Source organism: Homo sapiens, chromosome 5 (genome assembly GCF_000001405.40).
Source record: "Homo sapiens chromosome 5, GRCh38.p14 Primary Assembly".
In the NCBI taxonomy this organism is placed as follows: Eukaryota; Metazoa; Chordata; class Mammalia; order Primates; family Hominidae; genus Homo; species Homo sapiens.
This window is the reverse complement of record NC_000005.10, coordinates 7048363-7074615: the sequence shown is the minus strand read 5'-3', so window position 1 is coordinate 7074615 and position 26253 is coordinate 7048363. Positions and strand designations below refer to the sequence as shown.

The 26253-nt window shown below is 41.7% G+C and overlaps 1 long non-coding RNA gene across 1 annotated transcript in view, besides 1 other annotated feature; it reads right to left on the bottom strand.

The window, feature by feature from the left end:
* The window catches only part of LINC02196 (long intergenic non-protein coding RNA 2196), a 114548-nt gene that overhangs the window by 76413 nt on the left and 11882 nt on the right, over window positions 1-26253 (bottom strand). The gene's annotated exons all lie outside the window — the stretch shown is intronic.
* Window positions 7080-8279: an enhancer, noted in NCBI's record as "CDK7 strongly-dependent group 2 enhancer chr5:7066450-7067649 (GRCh37/hg19 assembly coordinates)". NCBI's record gives its function as "activates an origin of replication core promoter dependent on BRD2, BRD4, P300/CBP, MED14 and CDK7 cofactors, with strong dependence on CDK7, by STARR-seq in HCT116 cells {active_cell/tissue: HCT116}" and the evidence as "EXISTENCE:reporter gene assay evidence [ECO:0000049][PMID:35650434]".

Below are 26253 nucleotides of genomic sequence, written 5' to 3'. Positions count from 1 at the left end.
GAAGAGGAAAGACCAAGGAAGAATAGAGTTAGGGCTGAAATAAAGCTAAGACTGTCCTCTGTGACAGCTGGAAACACAGACCTCACCTCACAGTGGGTAACATCTGCAGACATTTAAAATATCAACAGCAAGGACCCAGACATTTAAAATATCAACAGTAAGGACCCAGACTACCCGGGGCCCTGAGGGTTTACACCTGCCTGTGGTACTGAGATTGGAAAGAGATTAGATTATCTGAATGGTTGGCAGAGAACATGATCAGTGCCCTTCACAAGTACCTCAGGCATCCTCCAGTGGGCACTGCAGGGGGCATAGGGCTGGTTCTTTTTTTCTTTTTCTTTTCATTTATGTATTTATTTATTTATTTATTTTTTGAGATGGAGTCTTGCTCTGCCACCCAGGCTAGAGTGCAGTAATCCTGGCTCACTACAACCCCTGCCTCCTGGGTTCAAGCAATTCTCCTGCCTCAGCTTCCTGAGTAACTGGGATTACAGGCATAATTTTTGTATTTTTTAGTAGAGACGGGGTTTTACCATCTTGGCCAGGCTGGTCTTGAACTCCCGACCTCGTGATCCACCCGCCTCGGCCTCCCAATCTCACAACTGGGATTACAGATGTGAGCCACCATGCCCGGCCAGGGCTGGTTCTTATGAAGACCTTAGGACAGGATGAGGGCTCTGGTGCTATGTACGCATGTGTGTGGTGTCTATGTGGTGTGTTTGTGTGTGTGTGGGGGGGTGGTTGTGTGTCTGTGGGTGGGTGTTTATATGTGTGTGAGTGCATGTATGAGTGTAAATATGTGTGGTGTGTGGATATGTGTGTTAATGTGTGGATATGTGTGTGGGGTGTGTGAATGTGTGAGTGTCTGTGCTTAGAAGGAATGTACAGCATGACCCAATAGTGTTATCCTGCTCTCAGCCCATCTGCCTTGATATCAGGATTTATCTGTGAGCATCTGGGTCATTAAGTTAATTTTCTTGGAATACTATATTTTTTCTCAATGGAGGCTTGGATGAAGATCGAACGGAGAGATATTAAAAACACTCTTTTGTACATAGTCAAACAAAAGGTGTCATATGATTTCAGCTGAGCCTAGCCCTCAATATAGAGTCTGGATGGAAGATCACACACCTTCTGCATGCAGAGGGCCTAGGAGCTAGTCCTGCCAGCAAGGCAGGGCTTGTCTTTATAATTTAGTTTGAGTCTGCTCAATTGCACAGTGGAGGATGGCTGAAGCCTCACATGGCTGGTCCACCTAGCATTCCCAGAATGGTTGTAGCTAAACAAAGTTTAGAACAGGCTTCATCAGACACCCACCTCTGTGAAAAGGGAACCTCAGTGCAGCATCCCTGAATGTCTGAGCTTCAAGCATTGCTACTTCCCTGTACAGCCTCTATGGTTCACTATTGGAGGACACACCAAAGATCAGCAGATGAAGTACTTTGCCCATTATTATCTATATAGGAGTTACAAGCTAGAAAAGTGAATACCAGATTGACTATGTGGCTCTGTCATCCCTCCTGGCAATAGTAAGATAGTGGCATTCATTGAATTGAACCTTCCAGAGAACTTGGTAAACTCTATTCTTCTCTATGTTCTCAGATACATAATCATCTAAGGGGAGTTTCCAGTAAGGGGTAATGATCTGAGAGGAAAAACGCTGGGTCAGGGAAATGTAGGTGTTTGTCTCAGCTTCATCATTTATTAATTGTGCTCTTGGCTGAGTCATTTGTCCTCTCCATGCTCTCCCTCATGGACGTGGATGGGATGAAAATGTCCCCTTAGTCCCATTTGCATGGGTGTCATAGAGATAACGTGATCTTTACACAGAAAAATTAAAAGTATGATATAAGCGAAACTGCTGGATTTCACTTCATTTCTCTGGCTGCAGAGGCCATCACTTTCTTGTAAGTTAGGTAGTAAAATGCTTGAGATTTTTTTTAAAAATTGGGTCCCTTTAGAATCCTTAGAATAAATCTGCATTAAAGGACCTCTCAAAAAAATGCTGGTTCTTCATTCAACCTCTGTCACCTTAGCCCACCCACATGTCTCTAAAATTACCTTCAGCTATTCTAGTGATTTATTGGAAAGTAAGGCTAATGGTAAGCAATTTTCAGTGACCACAGGGTGTTATAAAATGCAATTTCCTTGAATTCAGCCTGACCATGGGAGGTAACACAAAATTGTGCTGATTTGTTCAGAGGCATATTTTGAGTAACTTGAAACTTCAGCCCGAGTTGTGCTAGGCCTAATTGGAGAGCGTATGTGTTTGCACATTTAGATTTCACAGCAGTCCACAAAATGAATTTTCAAAGAACTAAGTATGCAGAACTATTTTAGTCTCACATCATTGAAAAAGTCTGTTCCTGCAGATAGGAAGGGTGCTCCGAGTAGCAGGAAGAAGGGTGGGCGTGTTTGTGGGTGAGCTCATTCCTATAGGGACTGGACTGGTTTGTGTAAGGTGAGGGCTTCGATTCCATTTCTTTGCAGGTGAGAACACGATCAAATGATGCTGGAGTAGGAAAATTAATTTTTAAGAGTATCATGTGACCACGTTTTCATTTGAAAGGGTCACATGATAGTTCTCAGAAGACGACTGTGGCAAAGAAAGGGCAAGCCTAGGTAGCAGGCTGCAGCGGAGGAAGGCCAACTTCAACTGCCTGTGCTGTCTCCTTCTCTTTGCAAATTAATCCATGGTACAGATGTGAAAAGGTGGCATTTTTAGTCATGAGTACATGACTATTTTATTAATTCTCCTTTTTTTTTTTTTTGTATTTGTTCACTTAGAAAAAGAAAAGGAAAGCCAGATGCACTGACTCATGCCTGTAATCCCAGCACTTTGAGAGGCTGAACGGGAGCATGACCTGAGGTCAGGAGTTCAAGACCAACCTGGCCAACATGATGAAACCCCGTCTCTACTAAAAGTACGAAAATTAGCTGGGTGTACAAAATTACAAAATTTAGTACAAAAATTCACCTGCAGGAGAATCACTTGAACCTGGGAGGCAGAGGTTGCAGTGAGCCGAGACTGCACCATTGCACTCCAGCCTGTGTAAAAAGAGTAAAATTCCACCTCAAAAAAAAAAAAAAAGGAAAAAAGGAACAGAAAAAAAAAAAGGAAGACAAAGCTAAGGAAGACCACGATAAAGAAAATAAAGGAGAAGAGATGACTATGATGACCGTTCGCACAACTGTCAGATGCAGGTCATGGTGGTTAAATGCAACAAAGCCCAGAGATGTCTTGCCTGCCTTTCCTACCTTTACTAATCATCAAATATATCCACAACCAGTTGCTCTTCATCAGGATTTGCTGGGTGCTAAGACTGAATGCTTATGTCCCCCTCACAATTAAGGGATTGAGTGTTCTTACAAAAGAGACTCCAGAGAGATCCTGTGTCCCTTTCACCAGCATGCTCCTCCACCTGTCTGCATGTCGGTTGCTGCGTCCATATAAAGTGCTGCAGGGATATTTCGAGAAGCTAATAAGACAAGTCAATGTGCAAATACCTTGCAAGTATCTAAAATGAAAAATGTGAGCTCTTCTTCCCCAAGCAAAGAAAAGACCCAAATAAAAAATAACACATATGTAGAGGTTATCTATGATATTTTAGATTTTATGAGCTCTCTATAAATGAACATTTGTTTCCTTTGTTCCTGAAATGAAACCATTACCTGTTTTTCTTGTTTGCCTTTTCCAGCCTATCTGCCAAAAGTTATTTTATTTTACAAAATGTCTTCCTAAATTATCCAATCCTTTTCCTTCTGAACATTTAAAACCATTCAAAAAACCCAAAGTACATTTTGATCTAAGCAATTAAGTTTCTTTACATCAGTAATCCCAATGTCATGTTGCGAACGTCATTCTAGAAAATGTCCCACAGCAAGTTTTTAATGGCCTGTAAGCAGAGGCTTTAAAATAAGGACATTTTTAAATGCTGGGTCAGGAATAACTTCAGTGAGGCTCCAGCCCCCTGCCGCGACCTTTCTGCTGACATGTCTCTGTTGACGCCAATATGGAAATCCACTTGTTTCCAGGCTTTCTCTCTTCATACCTCATTAGGATTCTGCACTGTTACAAAGTAAAACCACTGCCAGGACCATGAAATATGAGGCAATGGAATACTCTAAAATCCCACACCATTCTTCATTTACTGTCTTTCCATCAAGTCACCAAACCAAAACTATCAAATTGATTGTACAAGGCAAGAGATATGACAGAGTTAGATGCCCAGAACATTTTTTGCAATCCTTCTTTTCTGGCGGGGTGGAGATCTGAAAATGTATCCCTTCTAGGTTTCTGTAAGTAATCAGAAGAACTGCAAATTATACTTTTGTTTTTGCCAAACTTTTAAGCTTGACATGATTGAAACTTCTAGATTCCTCTAGTTTTCTCCTCTAAAAGCAACACTTCCAGCTAGGTTTAGCTGCTTCGCTGGAGAGCATGCTGCAATGTACCCAGCTTACCATGATGTCCCAGACATGCTTTAATATACAGCTAGCATAAGCATGCCTATTTTACTAAGGATTTTCATTTAATTTTGTCCTTCTATAAAACTATCTAACCTTGGACAGTATTACAGATGACTCCTGGTCATGTGAGTAGGCCAGGGATTAGGGATTTGGATATGAGGTGCTCCTTAGGATTTCCCTGCCAAAGCATTCCCTGCTGGTGTGTTCCAATCACAAAAGATAGCAGTGCTGTTGGAAAAGGCGGTGGCATTTTTGCCATCCAGGATCCAGATGCTTTCTTCGCTCCTGGGATGGTAGCAAAAAAAACCTCAAATCTTCAAAGTGAATACCAGCATTGATCTTTAAGTTCAGTGATGGAATTACTCTCAGAGGCTTCCATAACTAAATTGAAATCTCCCCAATTCAAAATTTCAAAATAGAGTTTTCTTCTTACCTTCTGTTTTTGTCTGAATGCAGTTCCGTCTCTCTCTCTGCACCATAACAAATCTCGGAATTGGCTTCCCCAATTTCCACCAATCACCCAGCACTGGAAAGTCTAGTCTGTGCCCCCACCGGACCACAGTGACCACCACCGTGTGGCTAAGCCAACCTCTGCTCCACGTGGGGGCCCCTCTGGCCACGCCAGGACCTTTCATCTCAACCACCCACCAAAGCAAGTGTCAACATCTCCTTACAGATTTGCATCAGAAATGTTAAGAAATGTTACTACAGGCAGCAGAAGAGCCACTCCTTACCTCCTGTTAAAACATTATAAAAAGGAAATGTGTGAGGAAGAAGAGCATAGGTTTGTGTACTAAATCTCAGAAGAGCAGCTTTTCAAAACTCTGTCAGGCCTGGGAGACAAAGGAAATATATCTTGACCTCACAGAGAGCATTCAGGTGGAAAAAAGTAATTTTTTTAACTTGAAATTTACATTTAACTAAAATGAATTTGTCTCACAATGAAGAAAGACTAAATAAATCATGGTATAGCCTAAGTGGAAAATGGTTCCACTGTTAGAAATCCGCATTGATAAAAGCCATTCACTAACGTCGGTGAGGCAGGAGAACAGTGGCTGGAGGGAGAGAACATAAGGCCGATTCACGCTGATTTCCTAGAACTAAATCAAATGGAAACACTTCAGTGATGACAGGTAATACCCTCTCCATTTACATAGGGCATACACAGAGTAAATGACTTTGTAACTTAACTTCATGCTCTTCATTACACAGGGCATACACCAATATAAACCAATGGAAGTAACCAATGGAAACCTCTAGAGGGTATTTAAACCCCAGAAAATTCTGTAACTGGGCTCTTGAGCCCGTGTGCTAGGACCACTCCCACCCTGTGGAGTGTACTTTCATTTTCAATAAATCTCTGATTTTGTTGCTTCATTCTTTCCTTGCTTTGTTTATGCATTTTGTCCAATTATTTGTTCAAGATGCCAAGAAGCTGGACACCCTCCACTGGTAACATGGGGAGATTTGTGCATGAAACAAAGTCAAGCAGGTTAGGACAGGGTGTGCTGTGGGGACAAACAGCCCTGATCTCAGTGGCTCTGCACGCTCACAGCTTATTTCATGCTCGTAGGAAATCTGACGTCAGGTGGGGCTCTCCAGCCTGGCTCCCCTCCATGCAACTAGGAAGTGCCTGATGTGGAATGAGTGTGGCAGGTTCTGCAGATAGAAAACTAGAGGGGAATGGCATAATGGCCAACAGGGCAAGGCGGGGAGAAGCGCCAGGTTGCTAGGGCAGGGCTTCCCACCTCCTGCACTGCAGATATGTGGGCAAATCCTCCCTTGCGGTGGGGCTGTCCCTTGCCCTGCAGGGTGCTGAGCAGCGACCTTGGCCTCCCTGCACTCAATGCCAGCAACACCGCTCCTTCTAGGTTTGGTGACGAAAAGTGCCTACAGACACTGCCAAGCCTCCCCCTGGCCTGTTTGGGAACCCTCAGGGCAGGGTGGGATGAGCCTGGGAAATGCATTTATATTTGACTGGCACTGCAGTGGGAAGCCAGTGGATGGTAGCAGACAGTATAATGATGTGACCAGATCTACACCTTAGCAACATGATTCCAGGCAGCACAGGAACCAGTGAGAACACTCACTAAGCTGTTTCTGTTGTTCCATCAAGACACAATGACTGCTTTGCTCAGGAAGGTGGCAGGGTAGGTAGGTGGTGTCATTGGTCAGATTCGACATACATGATGTTGGTGAAAGCTAAGGAGCTTGCTGGTGTTTAACATTACATTTGAAGGAAGGAGAGGAATCAATGATAAGGAATCAATAATCGTGATAGATACCCATGGCTCCTAGAAACCTGTGTTTCAAATTGGACTGAGTTGGTCTTATAAAAAACCCCTAGGGAGCTTGTTAAAATTATAAATTCTTGAGTTGCACAATTGAAAACCTGAATTTATTAAACCTGGCCAGTGGCCCAGGAATCTATTTGTAACATATTTCTTCAGGGATTCTGAAAGGAAGTTGGTTTTAGGGCTCCTGGCAGGCATCCTGTGAGTTTATGTGGGAATATACCACTGGTGGGTCACTATTGTATATTATTCTATTTATACAGTAACATCCCAGAATAATAACTGGAGTTACTTCTGAGATATGGAACTAGGGGTGCTTTTTGCCTTATTTTTCACATCTGTCTTGATTTCAGGTTAATAATAAGCAATGGCTAGTTCATAATCAGAAAAGTGTATATTATATATAATAATGTGGCTAGAGTCTACAAAGAAACAGAAAACCTAAAATATAGTAAACAAAATGATGTTTAGCATACTTTCAAACACAGGCTCAATATAGATGGTATGAAATGGTTATTTGGTGTGGGAAATATATTTTTTAAATTCATGTTATGAGCCTGTTTACTAAAACATATATGCTGAGAAATATAAGATCCTTAATCGAATGTTACTGATTCCTGAGGAAAAGTACCTGCCACTGAAAAGTCTGCTGAAAGGGAGATTTACATAGATATTGAAGGTACAGTCTGTGAGCTCTGAAAATACAGCTGGAAACATAGCTGTGTGTCTCTCAGAGAAGTATTCTGTTTCTCAGAGCAAGAGAGATTTACACACTGACTCACATCCTTTCTTCTCTACTTCCAGGAGTAAACTCCCCACCCTCAAAGTGAATGGCAGCCATTTTTCTAGCTACAGAAGAGCAAAGCGCAGTACCACGTGCTCCTCCAGGCTGGAGCTGTCCTTGCTGGCGCTGTCTCTCCATTTCTCTCTTATTCTCCTGTGACGATGGTGGGTGCACATGTTCACATGGAGATGTCCAGGATCCAAGCAAGTGGTCTGAAAGCCTGAGCCACAGCCCGTAAGGCAGGCACCCGGACAGGAACCCAGACCCACAGCAGACTTTGTCCAAGCAATAGCGCTCCTATGTCACGCCACTGAGAATGTGGTGTCATGTGTCACCGTAGCATAATCCAGTCTAACCTGACTGATACCTCTGTTTTGAAAACAAACTGCTACAAGAATTGCCTTGGGGGTTCAGTGCATGATCCAGAAATTCACTGGTGACCCTCTGAGGCATCTAGATTGGCATGAACTGTGTCTCAAGGGAAGAGAAGCCACTGGCGTTGAAATGGTTAATACATGTGATAGAAATTAAGGCAGCAGCCTTGAAAGACTGCCATGGATATTGAGAGAACATAAGAGTTTCTAGAACACACCAACATGAAGTTTGAGATATTCAAAGATCACTGAAGACTTCACAAACCCGGTCTATTGGGATGTATACCTACCCTTCCAGAATGCAGAATATTTTCAGGAAGAAAGAATACTCTTAGAAAATAATTCGTATTTGATTCACCAAGGTGACGTCTAGGATTGTGATCTTAGTTCTCATTCTCTAGAATCATGTACCCTTCCTGTGATACTGAAATGTTGAATTTGTGTTCAATAAAACTTGAACATAATTTGAACAAAAACAAGGATCCTACATTAAAAATCCTCACTATAATGAGAAATGGACGTACTTACACATCTCCAGGAGGAAAAACAGGAAGTTGACCATAATCATAGGAGTGATTTATCAAGAATTCCTATCAATACTTTCAATAGTATGTTTTCACAAGGGCTTCTTCCAAACTCTATTGATGTTGAAATGCATTTTAAAAGATTATAATTGTCCTGTGGCTGATGCTAGGAGAAGCTGAGCTATGAAAAGCAGCTGAAAACGTGCTTCTTGGTGAATAGTATGATGCTGAATCTCCTGGTCAAGGAGCTGGCTCACCCCGTGGTGACCTCTGCCATCCCAGCCAGGTGCCCGTTCATGAAGACCAGCCCCACAGCAGTGGAGTTTCTTGAGATTTTCCCAGGAATGCTAAAAACAGTGGAGCTACTTTAAGGAATCAACCCATAATCATTAGCCTATCCAAATCTAAGCCCCACCAAGTTACTTGGAAGCTATAAATGTGTCTTTGAGTATATACAAATAAAGATGCTGTTTATCCGGTCATCTCTACGTGCATTGTGAGCCTCACAATGCCAGGGCCTCCCAAACACTTGATACGGTCAGGGTACTATCACTGGCGCAGAAATGTAAGAGTGACACCACGTGCATGGGTCTCTCCTGGGTGCTTTTGCTGAGGGAAGAATTTTTCTAAACTTGACCTTGACTGAAATTACAGTTGATTGTGGATGATGCTTCTGGAGACGCTCAAAATCAGGACTCAGTCTTTCCATGGGACTTTTCTGGGTCTTGTGGAGAAGGGGATAGAGAGGTTTTACTCTAGGGCTCTGTTATGGCACGGTAATTCTATTTATTCTGTCATGGAATCACTAGAAAATAAAATTCTGGAAGTCTGCTAGTATTTTGCTACATCAGCTGTCCAAAGGAAAAAGAGACATGAGATATATAATCTGCTTACTTGGCCATATCAACACTTCTGATGTTACTTCCACCCAAGATGAGTTCCACCTGCATGTGAGTCTCACCACCTCCTCCAAAGGACTTCCACCGTGTTCCTCCCACAAAGTGGAGTGTTGTACCAGTCCATTACTGGTTAGAAAATTCATCTCATAGGACTAAACTCTCCAGCTTTGGATGTTATTAACATACCATGGAATCAAATTTGAATTTATTTTGGCAAATTATTAAATATATGAAAAATTCCAGTTTTGGCTAACACGGTGAAACCCCGTCTCTACTAAAAATACAAAAAATTAGCCGGGCGTGGTGGTGGGCACCTGTAGTCCAAGCTACTCAGGAGGCTGAGGCAGGAGAATGGCGCGAACCCAGGAGGCGGAGCTTGCAGTGAGCCGAGATCCCGCCACTGCACTCCAGCCTGGATGACGCAGCAAGACTCCATCTCAAAAAAAAAAAAAAAATTCCAGTTTTGTATCCTTTATGCTTCATCCTTTTTTATTAGAAACACTAGCTAGTATCAAAGTATATTTTTTTCAGAACAATGCCAATTATGAACAAGTAAGAACTTTTTTAAAAGTTTCCACTGGCCAGGCTCAGTGGCTCATGCCTGTAATCCCAGCACTTTGGGAGGCTGAGGCAGGCAGATCACTTGAACTCAGGAGTTCAAGGTCAGCCTGGACAACATGGTGAATCCCCGTCTGTACTAAAAATACAAAAATTAGCCAGGCATGGTGGTGTGCGCCTGTAGTCCCAGGTACTCAGGAGGCTGAGATGGGAGAATTGCTTGAACCTGGGAGACAGAAGTTGCAGTAAGCTGAGACTGCACCACTGCACTCCAGCCTGGGTGACAGAGCAGACTCCATCTCTAAACAACAAAAAAAAATTCTACTGTTACCTCAAAGGGCAAGACAGCAAGACAGTTCTTAAGTGCCTCTAAGATGTTTTGAAACGTATCCTATCTATAAGTTTGGTTTTGGCTTATTTAAAGGGGTTATTACGATAATATTTTTCAATGCAAGTCACAAATATAATTGAGTATTAAAGCAATGAAAATCACCTGTAGCTTCCCTTTAAGCTACTACCACTTTTACAATTGGGAAGATGGCTCTAAATATTTTGTGTGTGTATTTATGCCCTTACGTAAGTTAAATGAGGGTATTCTGTATATATTATTTTATTATTAGCTCTTTTCAGTTGTATTACTCATTTTACATACCTACATTTTCTATACCATTTCTTTACATATCATATATCATCTGTACATATCAAGTACACTTTTCCACACAAAAAATTGGTAAATTGGCAAATTGATAAATTGATAAATATAAAATACATTAGTACCATACTTCAAAATGTAGGATTTTAAAAATGTACAAGTTAAACCTTCTTCCTTCCATCATTAACTGGATAATTATATTTCAATGAGACTTCTAAGATGCAAGAAATTGGCTGAACCTAGTGGGTCTGACTCTTCTCTCTCTTTTGTTCTCTGCATAAGGACAAATTCTTCCTCTGAATTTCCTCATAATTAACGCTGTCAGGCCTCTGAGCCCAAGCTAAGCCATCATATCCCCTGTGATCTGCATGAATACATTCAGATGGCCTGAAGGAAGTGAAGAATCACAAAAGAAATGAAAATGGCCAGTTCCTGCCTTCACTGATGACATTCCACCATTGTGATTTGTTTCTGTCCAACTGAGCAATTAACCTTGTAAAATTCCTTCTCCTGGCTCAGAAGCTCCCCCACTGACCACCTTGTGACCCCTGTCCCTGCCCACCAGAGAACAACCCCCTTTGACTGTAATTTTCCACTACTCACCCAAATCCTATAAAACGGCCCCACCCCTATCTCACTTAGCTGACTCTCTTTTCAGACTCAGCCCACCTGCACCCAGGTGATTAAAAAGCCTGTTTGGTGGTCTCTTCACATGGACACGTGTGACATTTGGTGCCGTGACTTGGATCAGGGAACCTCCCTTGGGAGATCAATCCCCTGTCCTCCTGCTCTTTGCTCTGTGAGAAAGATCCATCTACGACCTCGGGTCCTCAGACCAACCAGCCCAAGGAACATCTCACCAATTTTAAATCGGGTAAGAGGCCTCTTTTTACTCTCTTCCCCAACCTCTCTCACTATCCCTCAACTTCTTTCTCCTTTCAATGTTGGTGCCACCCTTCAATCTCTCCCTTCCCTTAATTTCAGTTCCTTTCCTTTTCTGGTAGAGACAGAGGAGACGCGTTTTATCCGTGAACCCAAAACTCCGGCACCAGTCACGGACTCGGGAAGACAGTCTTCCCTTGGTGTTTAATCACTGCAGGGACGCCTGCTTGATTATTCACCCACATTTCAGAGGTGTCTGATCACCATGGGGACACCTGCCTTGATCCTCCACCTTAGTGGCCAATACACTTTCCTGGGGGGGCAATCACCCCCCACCCACCCCCTCTCTCTGTGTCTCTACCCTCTCTTTTCTCTGGGCTTGCTCCCTTCACTATGGGCAACCTTCCACCCTCCATTCCTCCCTCTTCCCCCTTAGCCTGTGTTCTCAAGAACTTAAAACCTCTGCAACTCACACCTGACCTAAAACCTAAATGCCTTATTTTCTTCTGCGATACCGCTTGACCCCAATACAAACTCGACAATGGTTCTAAATAGCCAAAAAATGGCACTTTCAATTTCTCCATCTTACAAGATCTACGTAATTCTTGTCGTAAAATGGGCAAATGGTCTGAGATGCCTGACATCCAGGCATTCTTTTACACATCGGTCCCTCCCTAGTCTCTGTTCCCAATAAAACTCATCCCAAATCCTCCTTCTTTCCCTCCTACCTGTCCCCTCAGTCCCAACCCCAAGTGTTACTAAGTCTTTTCAATCTTCCTTTTGTACCGACCCATCTAACCTCTCCCCTCCTCCCCAGACTGCTCCTCCTCAGGTCACTCCCCATGAGGCTGAATCAGGCTCCAATTCTTCCTCAGCCTCCTCTCCCCTACGCTATAATCCTTCTATCACTTCCCCTTGTCACACCTGGTCTGGCTTACAGTTTTGTTCTGCGACTAGCCCTCCCCCACCTGCCCAACAATCTCCTCTTAAAGAGGGGGCTGGAGCTAAAGGCATAGTCAAGGTTAATGCTCCTTTTTCTTCATCCAACCTCTCCCAAATCAGTTAGTGTTTAGGCTCTTTTTCATCAAATATAAAAACCCAGCCCAGTTCATGGCTCGTTTGGCAGCAACCCTGAAATGCTTTACAGCCCTAGACCCTAAAGGATCAGAAGGCTGTCTTATTCTCAATATGCATTTTATTACCCAATCCACTCCTGACATTAAATAAAGCTCCAAAAATTAGATTCTGGCCCTCAAACCCCACAACAGGACTTAATTAACCTTGCCTTCAAGGTATACAATCAATAATAGAGAAGAGTTGCAATTACTTGCCTCTGCTGTGAGAGAAACTGCCTAAGCCACAGCGGTCAGCCATTCTTTCAGGACCTCCTCCATCAGGATCTTGCTTCAGGTGCCAGAAATCTGGCCACTGGGCCAAGGAATGCCTGCAGCCTGGGATTCCTCCTAAGCCGTGTCCCATCCGTGCGGGACCCCACTGGAAATCGGACTGTTCAACTCACCCAGCAGCCACTCCCAGAACCCCTGGAACTCTGGCCCAAGGCTCTCTGACTGACTCCTTCCAAGATCTTCTCGGCTTAGTGGCTGAAGACTGATGCTGCCTGATAGCCTCAGGAGCTTCCTGGACCACCACAGATGCTTTCGGTAACTCTTACAGTGGAGGGTAAGTCCATCCCCTTCTTAATCAATACGGAGGCTACCCACTCCACATTACCTTCTTTTCAAGGGCCTGTTTCCCTTGCCTCCATAACTATTGTAGGTATTGACAGCCAGGATTCTAAACCTCTTAAAATTCCCCAACTCTGATGCCAACTTGGACAACATTCTTTTATGCACTCCTTTTTAGTTATCCCCACCTGCCCAGCTCCCTTATTAGATTGAGACATTTTAACTAAATTATCTGCTTCCCTGACTATTCCTAGGCTACAGCCACACCTCATTGCTGCCCTTTTCCCCAGTTCAAAGCCTCCTTCGTGTCTTCCTCTCATATCCCCCCACCTTAACCCACAAGTATGGGACACCTCTACTCCCTCCTTGGCAACCGATCACATCCCCATTACTATCCCATTAAAACCTAATCACCCTTACCTCTCTCAATGCCAGTATCCCATCCCACAACAGGCTTTAAGGGGATTAAAGCCTGTTATCACTCGCCTGCTACAGCATGGGCTTCTAAAACCTATAAACTCTCCTTACAATTCCACCATTTTACCTGTTCAAAAACCGGACAAGTCTTACAGGTTAGTTCAGGATCTGCGTCTTATCAACCAAATTGTTTTGCCTATCCACCCTGTGGTGCCCAACCCGTACACTGTTTTGTCCTCAATACCTTCCTCCACAACTCACTATTCCATTCTTGATCTTAAGGATGCTTTTTTCACTATTCCCCTGCACCTCTCCTCCCAGCCTCTCTTTGCTTTTACCTGGGCTGACCCTGACACCCATCAGTCTCAGTGACTTACCTGGGCTGTATTGCCACAAGGCTTCATGGACAGCCCTCATTACTTCAGTCAAGCCCTTTCTCATAATTTACTTTCTTTCCATCCATCTGCTTCTCACCTTATTAAATATTTTGATGACCTTCTACTTTATAGCCCCTCCTACAAATCTTCCCAACAGGACACCCTCCTGTTCCTCCAACATCTATTCTCAAAAGGATATCTTGTATCCCCTTCCAAAACCCACATTTCTTCCTCATCCATTACCTATTTTGGCATAATTCTTCATAAAAACACATGTGCTCTCCCTGCTGATCATGCCTGGCTAATCTCCCAAACCCCAACCCCTTCTATAAAACAACAACTCCTTTCCTTCCTAGGCATAGTTAGGTACTTGCGCCTTTAAATACCTGGTTTTACCATCCTAACAAAACCGTTATATAAACTCACAAAAGAAAACCTAGCTGACCCCATAGATCCTAAATCCTTTCCCCACTCCTCTTTCCGTTCCTTGAAGACAGCTTTAGAGACTGCTCCCACACTAGCTCTCCCTGACTCATCCCAACCCTTTTCATTACACACAGCTGAAGTGCAGGGCTGTGCAGTTGGAATTCTTACACAAGGACTGGGACCGGGTCCTGTAGCCTTTTTGTCCAAATAACTTGACCTTACTGTTTTAGGCTGGCCATCATGTCTCTGTGCAGTGGCTGCCACCACCCTAATACTTTTAAAGGCCCTCAAAATCACAAACTATGCTCAACTCACTCTCTATAGTTCTCATAACTTCCAAAATCTATTTTCTTCCTCACACCTGACACATATACTTTCTGCTCCCTGGCTCCTTCAGCTATACTCACTCTTTGTTGAGTCTCCCACAATTACCATTGTTCCTGGCCTGGACTTCAATCCAGCCTCCCACATTATTCCTGATACCACACCTGACCCCCATGACTGTATCTCTCTAATACACCTGGCATTCACTCCATTTCCCCATATTTCCTTTTTTCCTGTCCTCACCCTGATCATACTTGGTTTATTGATGGCAGTTCCACCAGGCCTAATCACCACTCACCAGCAAAGGCAGTCTATGCTGTAGTATCTTCCACATCTGTCATTGAGACTACCACTCTGCCCCCCTCCATGATCTCTCAGCACGCCAAACTCATTGCCTTAACTCGGTCCCTCACTCTTACAAAAGGACTACGTGTCAATATTTATAGTAACTGTAAATATGCCTTCCATATCCTGCACCACGATGCTGTTACATGGGCTAAAAGAGGTTTCCTCACTATGCAAAGGTCCTCCATCATTAATGCCTCTTTAATAAAAACTCTTCTCAAGGCTGCTTTTCTTCCAAAAGAAACGAGTCATTCACTGCAAGGGCCATCAAAAGGCATCAGATCCCATCGCTCAGGGCAACGCTTATGCTGATAAGGTAGCTAAAGAAGCAGCTAGCCTTCCTACTTCTGTCCCTCATGGCCAGTTTTTCTCCTTTTCATCAGTTACTCCCACCTACTCTCCCACTGAAACTTCCACCTATCAATCTCTTCCCACACAAGACAAATGGTTCTTGGACCAAGGAAAATATCTCCTTCCAGCCTCACAGGCCCATTCTATTCTATTGTCTTTTCATAACCTCTTCATTGTAGGTTACAAGCCGCTAACCTGCCTCTTAAAACCTCTCTTTTCCTTTCCATCATAAAAATCTATCCTCAAAAAATCACTTCTCAGTGTTCCATCTGCTACTCTACTACTCCTCAGGGATTTCTCAGGCCCCCTCCCTTCCCTACACATCAAGCTCAAAAATTTGCCCCTGCCCAGGACTGGCAAATTAACTTTACTCACATGCCCTGAGTCAGGAAGCTAAAATACCTCTTGGTCTGGGTAAACACTTTCACTGGATGGGTAGAGGCCTTTCCCACAGGGTCTGAGAAGGCCACCATGGTCATTTCTTCCTTTCTGTCAGACATAATTCCTCGGTTTGGCCTTCCCGCCTCTATACAGTCTGATAACGGACCAGCCTTTACTAGTGAAATCACCCGAGCAGTTTCTCAGGCTCTTGGTATTAGTGGAACCTTCATACCCCTTACTGTCCTCAATCTTCAGGAAAGGTAGAATGGACTAATGATCTTTTAAAGACACACCTCGCCAAGCTCAGCCTCCAACTTAGAAAGGACTGGACTGTACTTTTACGTCTTGCCCTTCTCAGAATTAGAGCCTGTCCTCCAGATGCTACAGGGTACAGTCCATTTGAACTTTTATATGGACGCACTTTCTTGCTCGGCTCCAACCTTGTCCCAGACACTGGCCCTCTAGGTGACTATCTTCCAGTCCTCCAGCAGGCTAGACAGGAAATTCGCCAAGCTGCTAATCTTCTCTTGCCTACTCCAGATTCCCAGCCATATGAAGACACCCTAGCTGGATGATCAGTTCTTGTTAAGAATCTGACCCCTCAAACTCTACAACCTCGTTGGACCAGACCCTACTTAGTCATCTATAGTACCCCAACTGCCATCTGCCTGCAGGATCCTCCCCACTGGGTTCGCCACTCCAGAATAAAGCTGTGTCCATCGGACAGCCAGCCTAATCTCTCTTTCTCCTGGAAGTCGCAAGTCCTCTCCCCTACTTCGCTTACACTCACTCTCATTTCTGAAGAACAGTAATAACCCTCATGAGTGTAATATATCCCTTCATTCTATTAAGTCTATTCATCCTTACCCTACTTTTTGCAACAGGGCTTTATGCAGTCACCCCCACTACTTGGACTGAGCCCCAAAAACTTGTCATCCTTACTATCTTCTGTCTAGTCATACTCCTATTCACTGTTCTCAACTACTCATAAATGCCCTGCTCTTGTTTACACTGCCAGTTTACACTGTTTCTCCAAGCCATCACAGCTGGTATCTCCTGGTGCTATCCCCAAACCACCACACTTGACTCCCTCTTGGAGTGGATAGATGATCTTTGCTGGCAGGGCACCCTCCAATACTTTCACCCTGATGAGGTTCTATTCTTTACTTTTATACTCACTCTTATTCTCATTCCCATTCTCATGCCACCCTCTACCTCTCCCCAGCTATCTCCACCACACTATCAATCTCACTCACTCTCTCGTAGCCATTTCTATTTTTTTTTCTAATACTTTTTCTTTTTTTTTTTATGATACTTTAAGTTTTAGGGTACATGTGCACATTGTGCAGGTTAGTTACATATGTATACATGTGCCATGCTGGTGCACTGCACCCACTAACTCGTCATCTAGCATTAGGTATATCTCCCAATGCTATCCCTCCCCCCTCCCCCCACCCCACCACAGTCCCCAGAGTGTGATATTCCCCTTCCTGTGTCCATGTGATCTCATTGTTCAATTCCCACCTATGAGTGAGAATATGCGGTGTTTGGTTTTTTGTTCTTGTGATAGTTTACTGAGAATGATGATTTCCAATTTCATCCATGTCCCTACAAAGGACATGAACTCATCATTTTTTATGGCTGCATAGTATTCCATGGTGTATATGTGCCACATTTTCTTAATCCAGTCTATCATTGTTGGACATTTGGGTTGGTTCCAAGTCTTTGCTATTGTGAATAATGCCGCAATAAACATACGTGTGCATGTGTCTTTATAGCAGCATGATTTATAGTCATTTGGGTATATACCCAGTAATGGGATGGCTGGGTCAAATGGTATTTCTAGTTCTAGATCCCTGAGGAATCACCACACTGACTTCCACAATGGTTGAACTAGTTTACAGTCCCACCAACAGTGTAAAAGTGTTCCTATTTCTCCACATCCTCTCCAGCACCTGTTGTTTCCTGACTTTTTAATGATTGCCATTCTAACTGGTGTGAGATGGTATCTCATTGTGGTTTTGATTTGCATTTCTCTGATGGCCAGTGATGATGAGCATTTTTCCACATATCTACAACTATCTGATCTTTGACAAACCTGAGAAAAGCAAGCAATGGGGAAAGGATTCCCTATTTAATAAATGGTGCTGGGAAAACTGGCTAGCCATATGGAGAAAGCTGAAACTGGATCCCTTCCTTACACCTTATACAAAAATCAATTCAAGATGGATTAAAGACTTAAACGTTAGACCTAAAACCATAAAAACCCTAGAAGAAAACCTAGGCATTACCATTCAGGACATAGGCATGGGCAAGGACTTCATGTCTAAAACACCAAAAGCAGTGGCAACCAAAGACAAAATTGACAAATGGGATCTAATTAAACTAAAGAGCTTCTGCACAGCAAAAGAAACTACCATCAGAGTGAACAGGCAACCTACAACATGGGAGAAAATTTTCGCAACCTACTCATCTGACAAAGGGCTAATATCCAGAATCTACAATGAACTCCAACAAATTTACAAGAAAAAAACAAACAACCCCATCAAAAAGTGGGCGAAGGACATGAATAGACACTTCTCAAAAGAAGACATTTATGCAGCCAAAAAACACATGAAAAAATGCTCTCGTCGCCATTTCTAATCCTTCTTTAACAAACAATTGCTGGCTTTGCATTTCTCTTTCCTCTAAAATCACAGAGGCCCTGACTTACTAACTGCTTAAAAAAAAGGGGGGACTCTGTATATTTTTAAATGAAGAGTGTTGTTTTTACCTAAATCAATCTGGCCTGGTACATGACAATGTAAAAAAACAAAACAAAACAAAAAAAACACTCAAGGATAGAGTCTAAAAACTTGCCAACCAAGCAAGTAAGTAAGCTGAACCCCCTTGGGCACTCTTTAATTAGATGTCCTGGGTCCTCCAATACTTAGTCCTTTAATACCTGTTTTTCTCCTTCTCTTATTTGGACCTTGTGTCTTCTGTTTAGTTTCTCAATTCATCTAAAACTGTATCCAGGCCATCACCAATCAAGCTATATGACAAATGCTCCTTCCAACAACCCCACAATATCACCCCTTACCACAAAATCTTCCTTCAGCTTAATCTCTCCCACTCTAGGTTCCCATGCTTGGACCTTGTGTCTTCTGTTTAGTTTCACAATTCATCCAAAACTGTATCCAGGCCATCACCAATCACACTATATGACAAATGCTCCTTCCAACAACCCCACAATATCACCCCTTACCACAAAATCTTCCTTCAGCTTAATCTCTCCCACTCTGGGTTCCCATGCCACCCCTAATGCCACTGGAAGCAGCCCTGAGAAACATTGCCCATTATCTCTCCATACCAGCCCCCAAAAAGATTTTCACTGCCCCAACACTTCAATACTATTTTATGTTATTTTTCTTATTGATATAAGAAGACAGGAATGTCAGGCCTCTGAGCCCAAGCTAAGCCATGATATCCCTTGTGACCTGTACGAATACATCCAGATGGCCTGAAGCAAGTGAAGAATCACAAAAGAAGTGAAAATAGCCGGTTCCTGCCTTCACTGATGACATTCCACCATTGTGATTTGTTCCTGCCCCACCTTAACTGAGCAATTAACCTTGTGAAATTCCTTCTCCTGGCTCAGAAGCTCCCCCACTGACCACCTTGTGACCCCTGTCCCTGCCCACCAGAGAACAACCCCCTTTGACCGTAATTTTCCACTACCCACCCAAATCCTATAAAACGGCCCCATCCCTATCTCCCTTCACTGACTCTCTTTTTGGACTCAGCCCGCCTGCACCCAGGTGATTAAAAAGCTTTATTGCTGACACAAAGCCTGTTTGGTGGTCTCTTCACATGGACACGCATGACAATACCATGCTGGTTGTGGGCTCTGCAGATTTGAAGATGCATGTGTCTCCAGTCCTGGAAGAGAAAGGACTGGTCCTGATGCCAAGGAGTTGCAGCTGCAGCATGGGTGCTCTAGTGACATTTTCTCCACCATAGGTTTCTATGTTTAAAAAGGCCTCCCCGGCCGGGCGCAGTGGCTCACGCCTGTAATCCCAGCACTTTGGGAGGCCAAGGCGGGCAGATCACAAGGTCAGGAGATTGAGACCATCCTGGCTAACATGGTGAAAACTCGTCTCTACTGAAAATACAAAAAAAAATTAGCCAGATGTGGTGGCGGGCGCCTGTAGTCCCAGCTACTCGGGAGGCTGAGGCAGGAGAATGGCTTGAACCCGGGAGGCGGAGCTTGCAGTGAGCGGAGATTGCACCACTGCACTCCAACCTGGGCAACAGAGTGAGACTCCGTCTCAAAAAAAAAAAAAAAAAAAAAAGGCCTCCCCTGCCTGGCTCTTCAGGTGACGGAATCACACCCTTACTTAGGGGGTGGGGCACTCAGTGGAGAAATGGCCTCAGAAAACCCAGCCATCTGCACCATTAACAGCAATCTTTCACAGCAAAAGATCCTTCTGGGAAAGGCAACTCGCAGGCTCAGAAATTTACACCTAATTCTCTTGACTACATCTGACACATAGTAGGAATTCAAGAAGTATGGAATTAAATAAAATTAAATGCCTAAATTGTTAAAATACTGGATTAAAATGGTATCTGACTAGTTTTCTATAAAGGTTTCTGAAAAATCACATTAATTTTCAACTGAGATCTAAAGAGAAAAACGCCTGCCTAGGATGTAACTAGGATGTACAGTCAACCAGTCCCCAGAATTTGGATGAATTTCCACTAATTATATGAACAAATAAGTAGGATTGAAAAGCAAACAAAAAAAATAGATTACTTTACTTCTTCCTCTGGCTAAACAAGCACGGCTATCAGAAAGTATTGTGTTTATTGAGGGAAAAGTCAAATTCTGGGCAGTGTTCTAAAAATATCTCTACTGTACTAACCACTCATCTTTACCTGAAGAGTACAAAGAAGAAAAGGATGGCTTTTCCTAAATCCAGTAGGATATGAACAGGTTTTATTCCAGTCTATTCCACTTACTAGTAAGGTCAGTGAAATATTCAATAGGGTAAATATTGCAAGATTCAACTTTCTGACACAGGATTATAATTATTAACTACAATTTCCAATAACAAACAAGTAAAAAAAATGAACAACTCAAAGTTAAAAGTTCTGCAGGAATCACTGGAGTTCAAGCAGCAGAGTTTCCTGCAAACAAACACTCTTATGGAGACAAGACAGAACAATCGTCATTGATAGAAATACTAATAGAAATCTTGTACACTTCCACTTTGCTATTCTTTATATTCTTGTGTTGGTAAATACTTTCCAACTTTATTCATTGCAATAGGAAGAAGAATAAGCCCCCCTACCCCCCACCCAAAGAGGTTTCCCTTTTAATCCCCAGAATTTGTGGAAACTTTACCCTAGATGGCAAAAGAGACTTTGCAAATTCAATTAAGATTAGGAACCTTGAGACAGAGAAATGGTCCTTAATTATCTAGGTGGATCTAATGTAGTCACAGGTGGAGACTTTCCCAACTGTAATGAGAGAAGTGATGACTGAAGAAAGGTCAGAGAGATGTGATGTGAGTCAAACTTGTCATTGCTGGCTTTGAAGACAGAGGAAGAGGCCATGAGCCAAGGAATACACATTTCCTCTATAAGCTGGAAAAGGCAAGAAAAGAAATTCTCCCCTAGAGCCTCCAGAAAGAAATACAACTTTGCTGACTTCTTGATTTTAACCCAGTGATACAAAAGTTGTCAGACTTCTAACTTAAAAAACTAAAAATAATGAATTTGGATTATTTAAAACAGTGTGATAATTTGTTACAGCACAATATAAAAACTAATCACTCTTATCTATAAAAGCAAAGCAATGAATAGCTTGGAGCATTTCACTATCCATGTCTTATGTCAATAATTCTGAGTTTCTCCATATTTCAAGAACATTTTTACTAGAATGTGTGTTCTTTTTTGTTAAAAATTCATTTAGCTTTTCATTGAAATTACAGATGAATTTTTAAATGTGTATTTATCATTTTTAATTTGATAATAAAGAGCACTTTGGGCCATCTGTGCTTTGGAGTTTAGAAATGCAAGCTCTTTACCACTCAGAAAAATGTTCAGTTGTCTCTTTTCATCTTGGCTGCTACTTCTAGAAGCAGCCTTACTTCTGATCTCTACCATTGCCTACACACATCTGGAGGCAGCAGCACTCTAGAAATAGTCAGGGAGAAAGTGGAGCAAGACAGACAGGAAGAAGCACATAGCATCTTAGGGATTTCATTCTACAGTGTAGGTAGGAACAAGAGCAGAAAGAACCATGGTGGCACTAAATGCTGGAGATTATAATGGGTTTCAGCTGTTTCAATTTTGGAATGTAAGAAAGTCAGGCAGAATCAAGAAAAACTGAAACCTAAAAAACTGCACAAAATGTGAAAAAGAGATAGATACTACAAAAAAAAAAAAGAAAAAAATGAAGGCATCATGAAAAGTCAAAGAAAAGCATGTCTCTGAAAAAAAATTAGCATGATAAACAGAAGATAATTTAGAAATGTGTTGGGTATAGTTGCTAAAATCCAAGTTGATATGTCCTCTGAAAAGGAGGAGAAAGCCATTAGGGGAAAATAGGCTGAGATGACAAGGCAACCAAGGAGTGACAGAAGAAAAGACTGCAGATAAATTGAATACTCAGTAGTTGATTCAGAGGAACAGTAGAATACTCAATAGTTGATTCAGAAGCAATGAGAAGAAAAATTCAGCACAGAGTATTAAATCAGTGACAGTGGGGCCAATTGATATGTTCTATGTGCATAGAAAGAGAAGAAGAATGCTCATGCCTGTAATCCCAGCACTTTAGGAGGCCGAGGTGGGTGGATCACCTCAGGCCAGGAATTAAAGACCAGCCTGGACAACATGGTGAAATCCTATCTCTACTAAAAATTATAAGAATTAGCTGGGCGTGGTGGCGGGTGCCTGTAATCCCAGCTACTCAGGAGGCTGAGATGAGAGAATCACTCAAACCCGACAGTTAGAGGTTGCAGTGAGCCGAGACTGTGCTATTCCACTCCAGCCTGGGCAATAAGAGTGAAACTCCATCTAAAAAAACAAAAAAGAAAAGAAAGAGAAGAAGAAAATTTATAAAATGCTGGAGCAAGCAGCAGAGATGGGAGACACAGAAGGCTTATTCTAACTAAGAATTGTAAGTCATTTCCACAGAAGAAACCGAAAAAATTACAACGAAGATAAAAAGCACAGGCATAATCAAAAACATTTTACCAAGTTGAATAAATAAGTTTTTGCAGAGATTGAAAGGAGTTACCATCTAGCACTAATCTAACCTTCATGGTTCCGCTCATCAATACTCTGTGTACTTTGTTAACTCTTTTAACAATCAGTACATTTATTGTGATCTCCAAAATTTAAAAATGCATAGGATAAACTAAAACTTGATCCTGACTAAACTGGGTTTCACTGAGTAATTTTTGATATATTTTTCTGTGTTTTCCCAGTTTTCGACAACGGGTATATATTATTCATAATCATAAAAAATTACAAGATTAGTAAATTAAAATACACTGATATAGTGTTTAACCAAACAACTGGGCACTGCAACCTAGCCTAGCTGACAAGTAATCACTATCACAATGCTATCTCAGGGCACAACTCTGTCTTCCTCAGCTGTCACTCACACTCTCCACTCTTCATTCAGCTACACTAAAGACCTAGAATGTGGGGGAAGTGTATGCTACTTAGTCTACTCACAAGTGTGATTTAAACATAAAAGCTTTCATGGAGAAAAAGTAACCTGTCACTCAGGCCCTTTTGGAGCCATCCATCGTCACTGGGCTCCAGGATAACTCTTGTATCTTAATAAGAAGGATGCTACACTTCTCCTCTAGCCACCACAAATGACTTGCCATTTAATTTTTTATTAATTCACAAGTAATTAGTGTATATATTACATATTTATGGGGTACAAAGTGAGGTTTTGATATGTGTTTACATTGTAGAATGATTAAGTCAAGCTAGTTAGCAAATATATCACCTCACATCTTATCATTTTTTGTGATGAAACATTTAAAATTCATTCTTTCAGCAACTTTGAAATATACAATCCATTATTATTTATTCTAGTCACCATTCTGTGCAATAGAATACTAAAGCTTATTCCTCCGGTCTAACTGAAATTTTGTACCCTTTGATCAACATATCCCCTTTTTTCGTCCACTCCTTCCCTTAGCCTCTGGCAACCACCATTCTGCCCTCTACTTATGTGAGTTAAACTTTTTTAGATTCCACATATGAGTGGAATCATGCATTATTTGTCTTTCTGTGCCTGAGTTATTCCACTTAGCATAAAGTCCTGCAGGTTCATCCATGTTGTCACAAATGACAGAATTTCCCTTTTATTATGGCTGAATGGTATTGCATTGTGTATAGACCACATGTCTATATCCATCATGTAACACAGATGTCTCAGCAAAGTTTCGTCAAAGATGTTAGCTAGAAAGAAATCATGTAATGTATCTTATAAATGACGGGATCAACTTTCCCACATATGGAGGGCATTTTAGAAGTTCTAAGACTGCTTCCTGGCCATCATAAATGACCTGCCGTTTCTTTCTGACATTCACAGTAGTGAAGAACTGTCTCAATGAGATCAGCTCATCCTTGTTTTGTGTTGTTTTAAATGCTACCTAATACAATACTAATGTATTTACTAATTTTTTTTACCTCTTGAGTTTTGAATAAGGCATGGAAACTCTCTCTAATCAATTCCAAAACATTTTGTGATGAAACTCAAGACTCATTCATGTTCTAAAGTAGTCTTCTCACACTCTGCTATAAATCTGCTCTGTGAAAGTTGCTACTTGGAGAATGTTAGTAAAACCTTTGAGGAAGACTCCAGAAACCCTTAAGCTTCCTTCTCCAAGGGGATCATCTGTATCCTCAGTCAGCAAAACCTGCAACATTAATATCCAGGGAGACTGACTTCTGCAATTTTCAAACTCAGAAACAAGGGCCAGCTTTGAATCTTCTCTCCTTCATTGTTTGAATTTTTTTTCTACCTTAAGGCAGTTGGGACTCAGCCATAAATTTTGATTAGCAAGACATTAAAAGTTACTATCAATGCTTAAGGGAGATTTGTTCTTCCCTTTAAAATCTTATTTTCCTCTTTGGCTTAAAAATAGAATTGAACTTTGTAAACCTGGCCTCATTTTAGGATTCTGTTGAGACTCAAAAATTGTCAATGTCAGTAAGCTAGTTTGCACACCACGAAGATAGTACAAGTTACATTGGTTTTTATTTCAAAAATTTTTATTCTGATTTTGCAAGTTCTAGTGGGATTATGGAATATTCTAATTGGATATGGACACTTTGAGAATTAAAATGCAAATGAGGTTATTTCTTAAAGTATTCTTCATTAAATGTACAGTGCAATGTCTAAAGAAATAACCAAAATACATTCCAGGGAAAGTTTTGATAACACCACTATTAGCCTTAAAAATAATTTTTCTAAAGATAATTACTTGACCTGTCAGTTTCACAGAACATATGTAGTTGAAAGATTGGCAGATTGGCTTTGGACACCTGCATGAATATGTGTACTTAGGAAGGAGAGATGGAAACATGAAAGGTATATAAACCTGTTTTCCAGGCAGAAAAAAATCAAGTTAAAAATAAATTGGTTCTTATTAAATAATCACAGAAGCTCAGTGACATTTTTTTTTTCTGGCAAACAAAAGCAGTGGAATGTCCAAATGAAAAAAGTTGGAAGTCTTTAGAAATGTGCACATTAATTTCCTCTTGAGGCATACAATATTGTGGTCTGGAGGAAGTGAACATACTAGGGCATTCACATTTCTGTGTCCCTTCTGACATATTTAAGGAAAGGAATTTTATTCATTGGAGGAACACCTTGGGGAGTATTCTGGCTGTAAGGTTGCACCCACTGGCCTCAAGGAGCTGAAGGGTGCATACAACTGCAGACTCCGTGTGCATCTGTAAGTTGAAACAGGCCTTCCTCATTGTCCAGAACAGAGAAAACATGGCAGCAAAGTTCTAACCTATGCTATTTCTAAAGGAGTTTCTCAGCAACTGAAATTCCAAAGCTGATGAAACTAACAGCAATAATAATGTAAACTTTCATTTGTTTTCTTCATTATCTTTGGCTTTGCACATATCAACAGGAGCCAGATTCATTGTTGACATCATTATTATAACTGTTAAGTACCAGTTTTATTGTTTGGTGGGTATGTGTCTCAATGCACTAAAATTGAGTCCAACCAATACTTCAAGTGTTCACTCCTTAAAATTACTTCACATAAATAACCACGATAGTGCAGTGTCTGCTAACACACAAATATTCTTTTTGAAAAAGGGGATTTTTTTTCCCCTATTACTGTAATACCTTTTTTTTCTGATAGACTTGGGAATAATAATCTAACACAAGCAGACATTTATGTAACTTTTCCAATTAGCACATTTCCTGCAAAAATGCTCCCTCTTTTTACGAAGATTAAGTTTTGGTGCAGATTGTGTA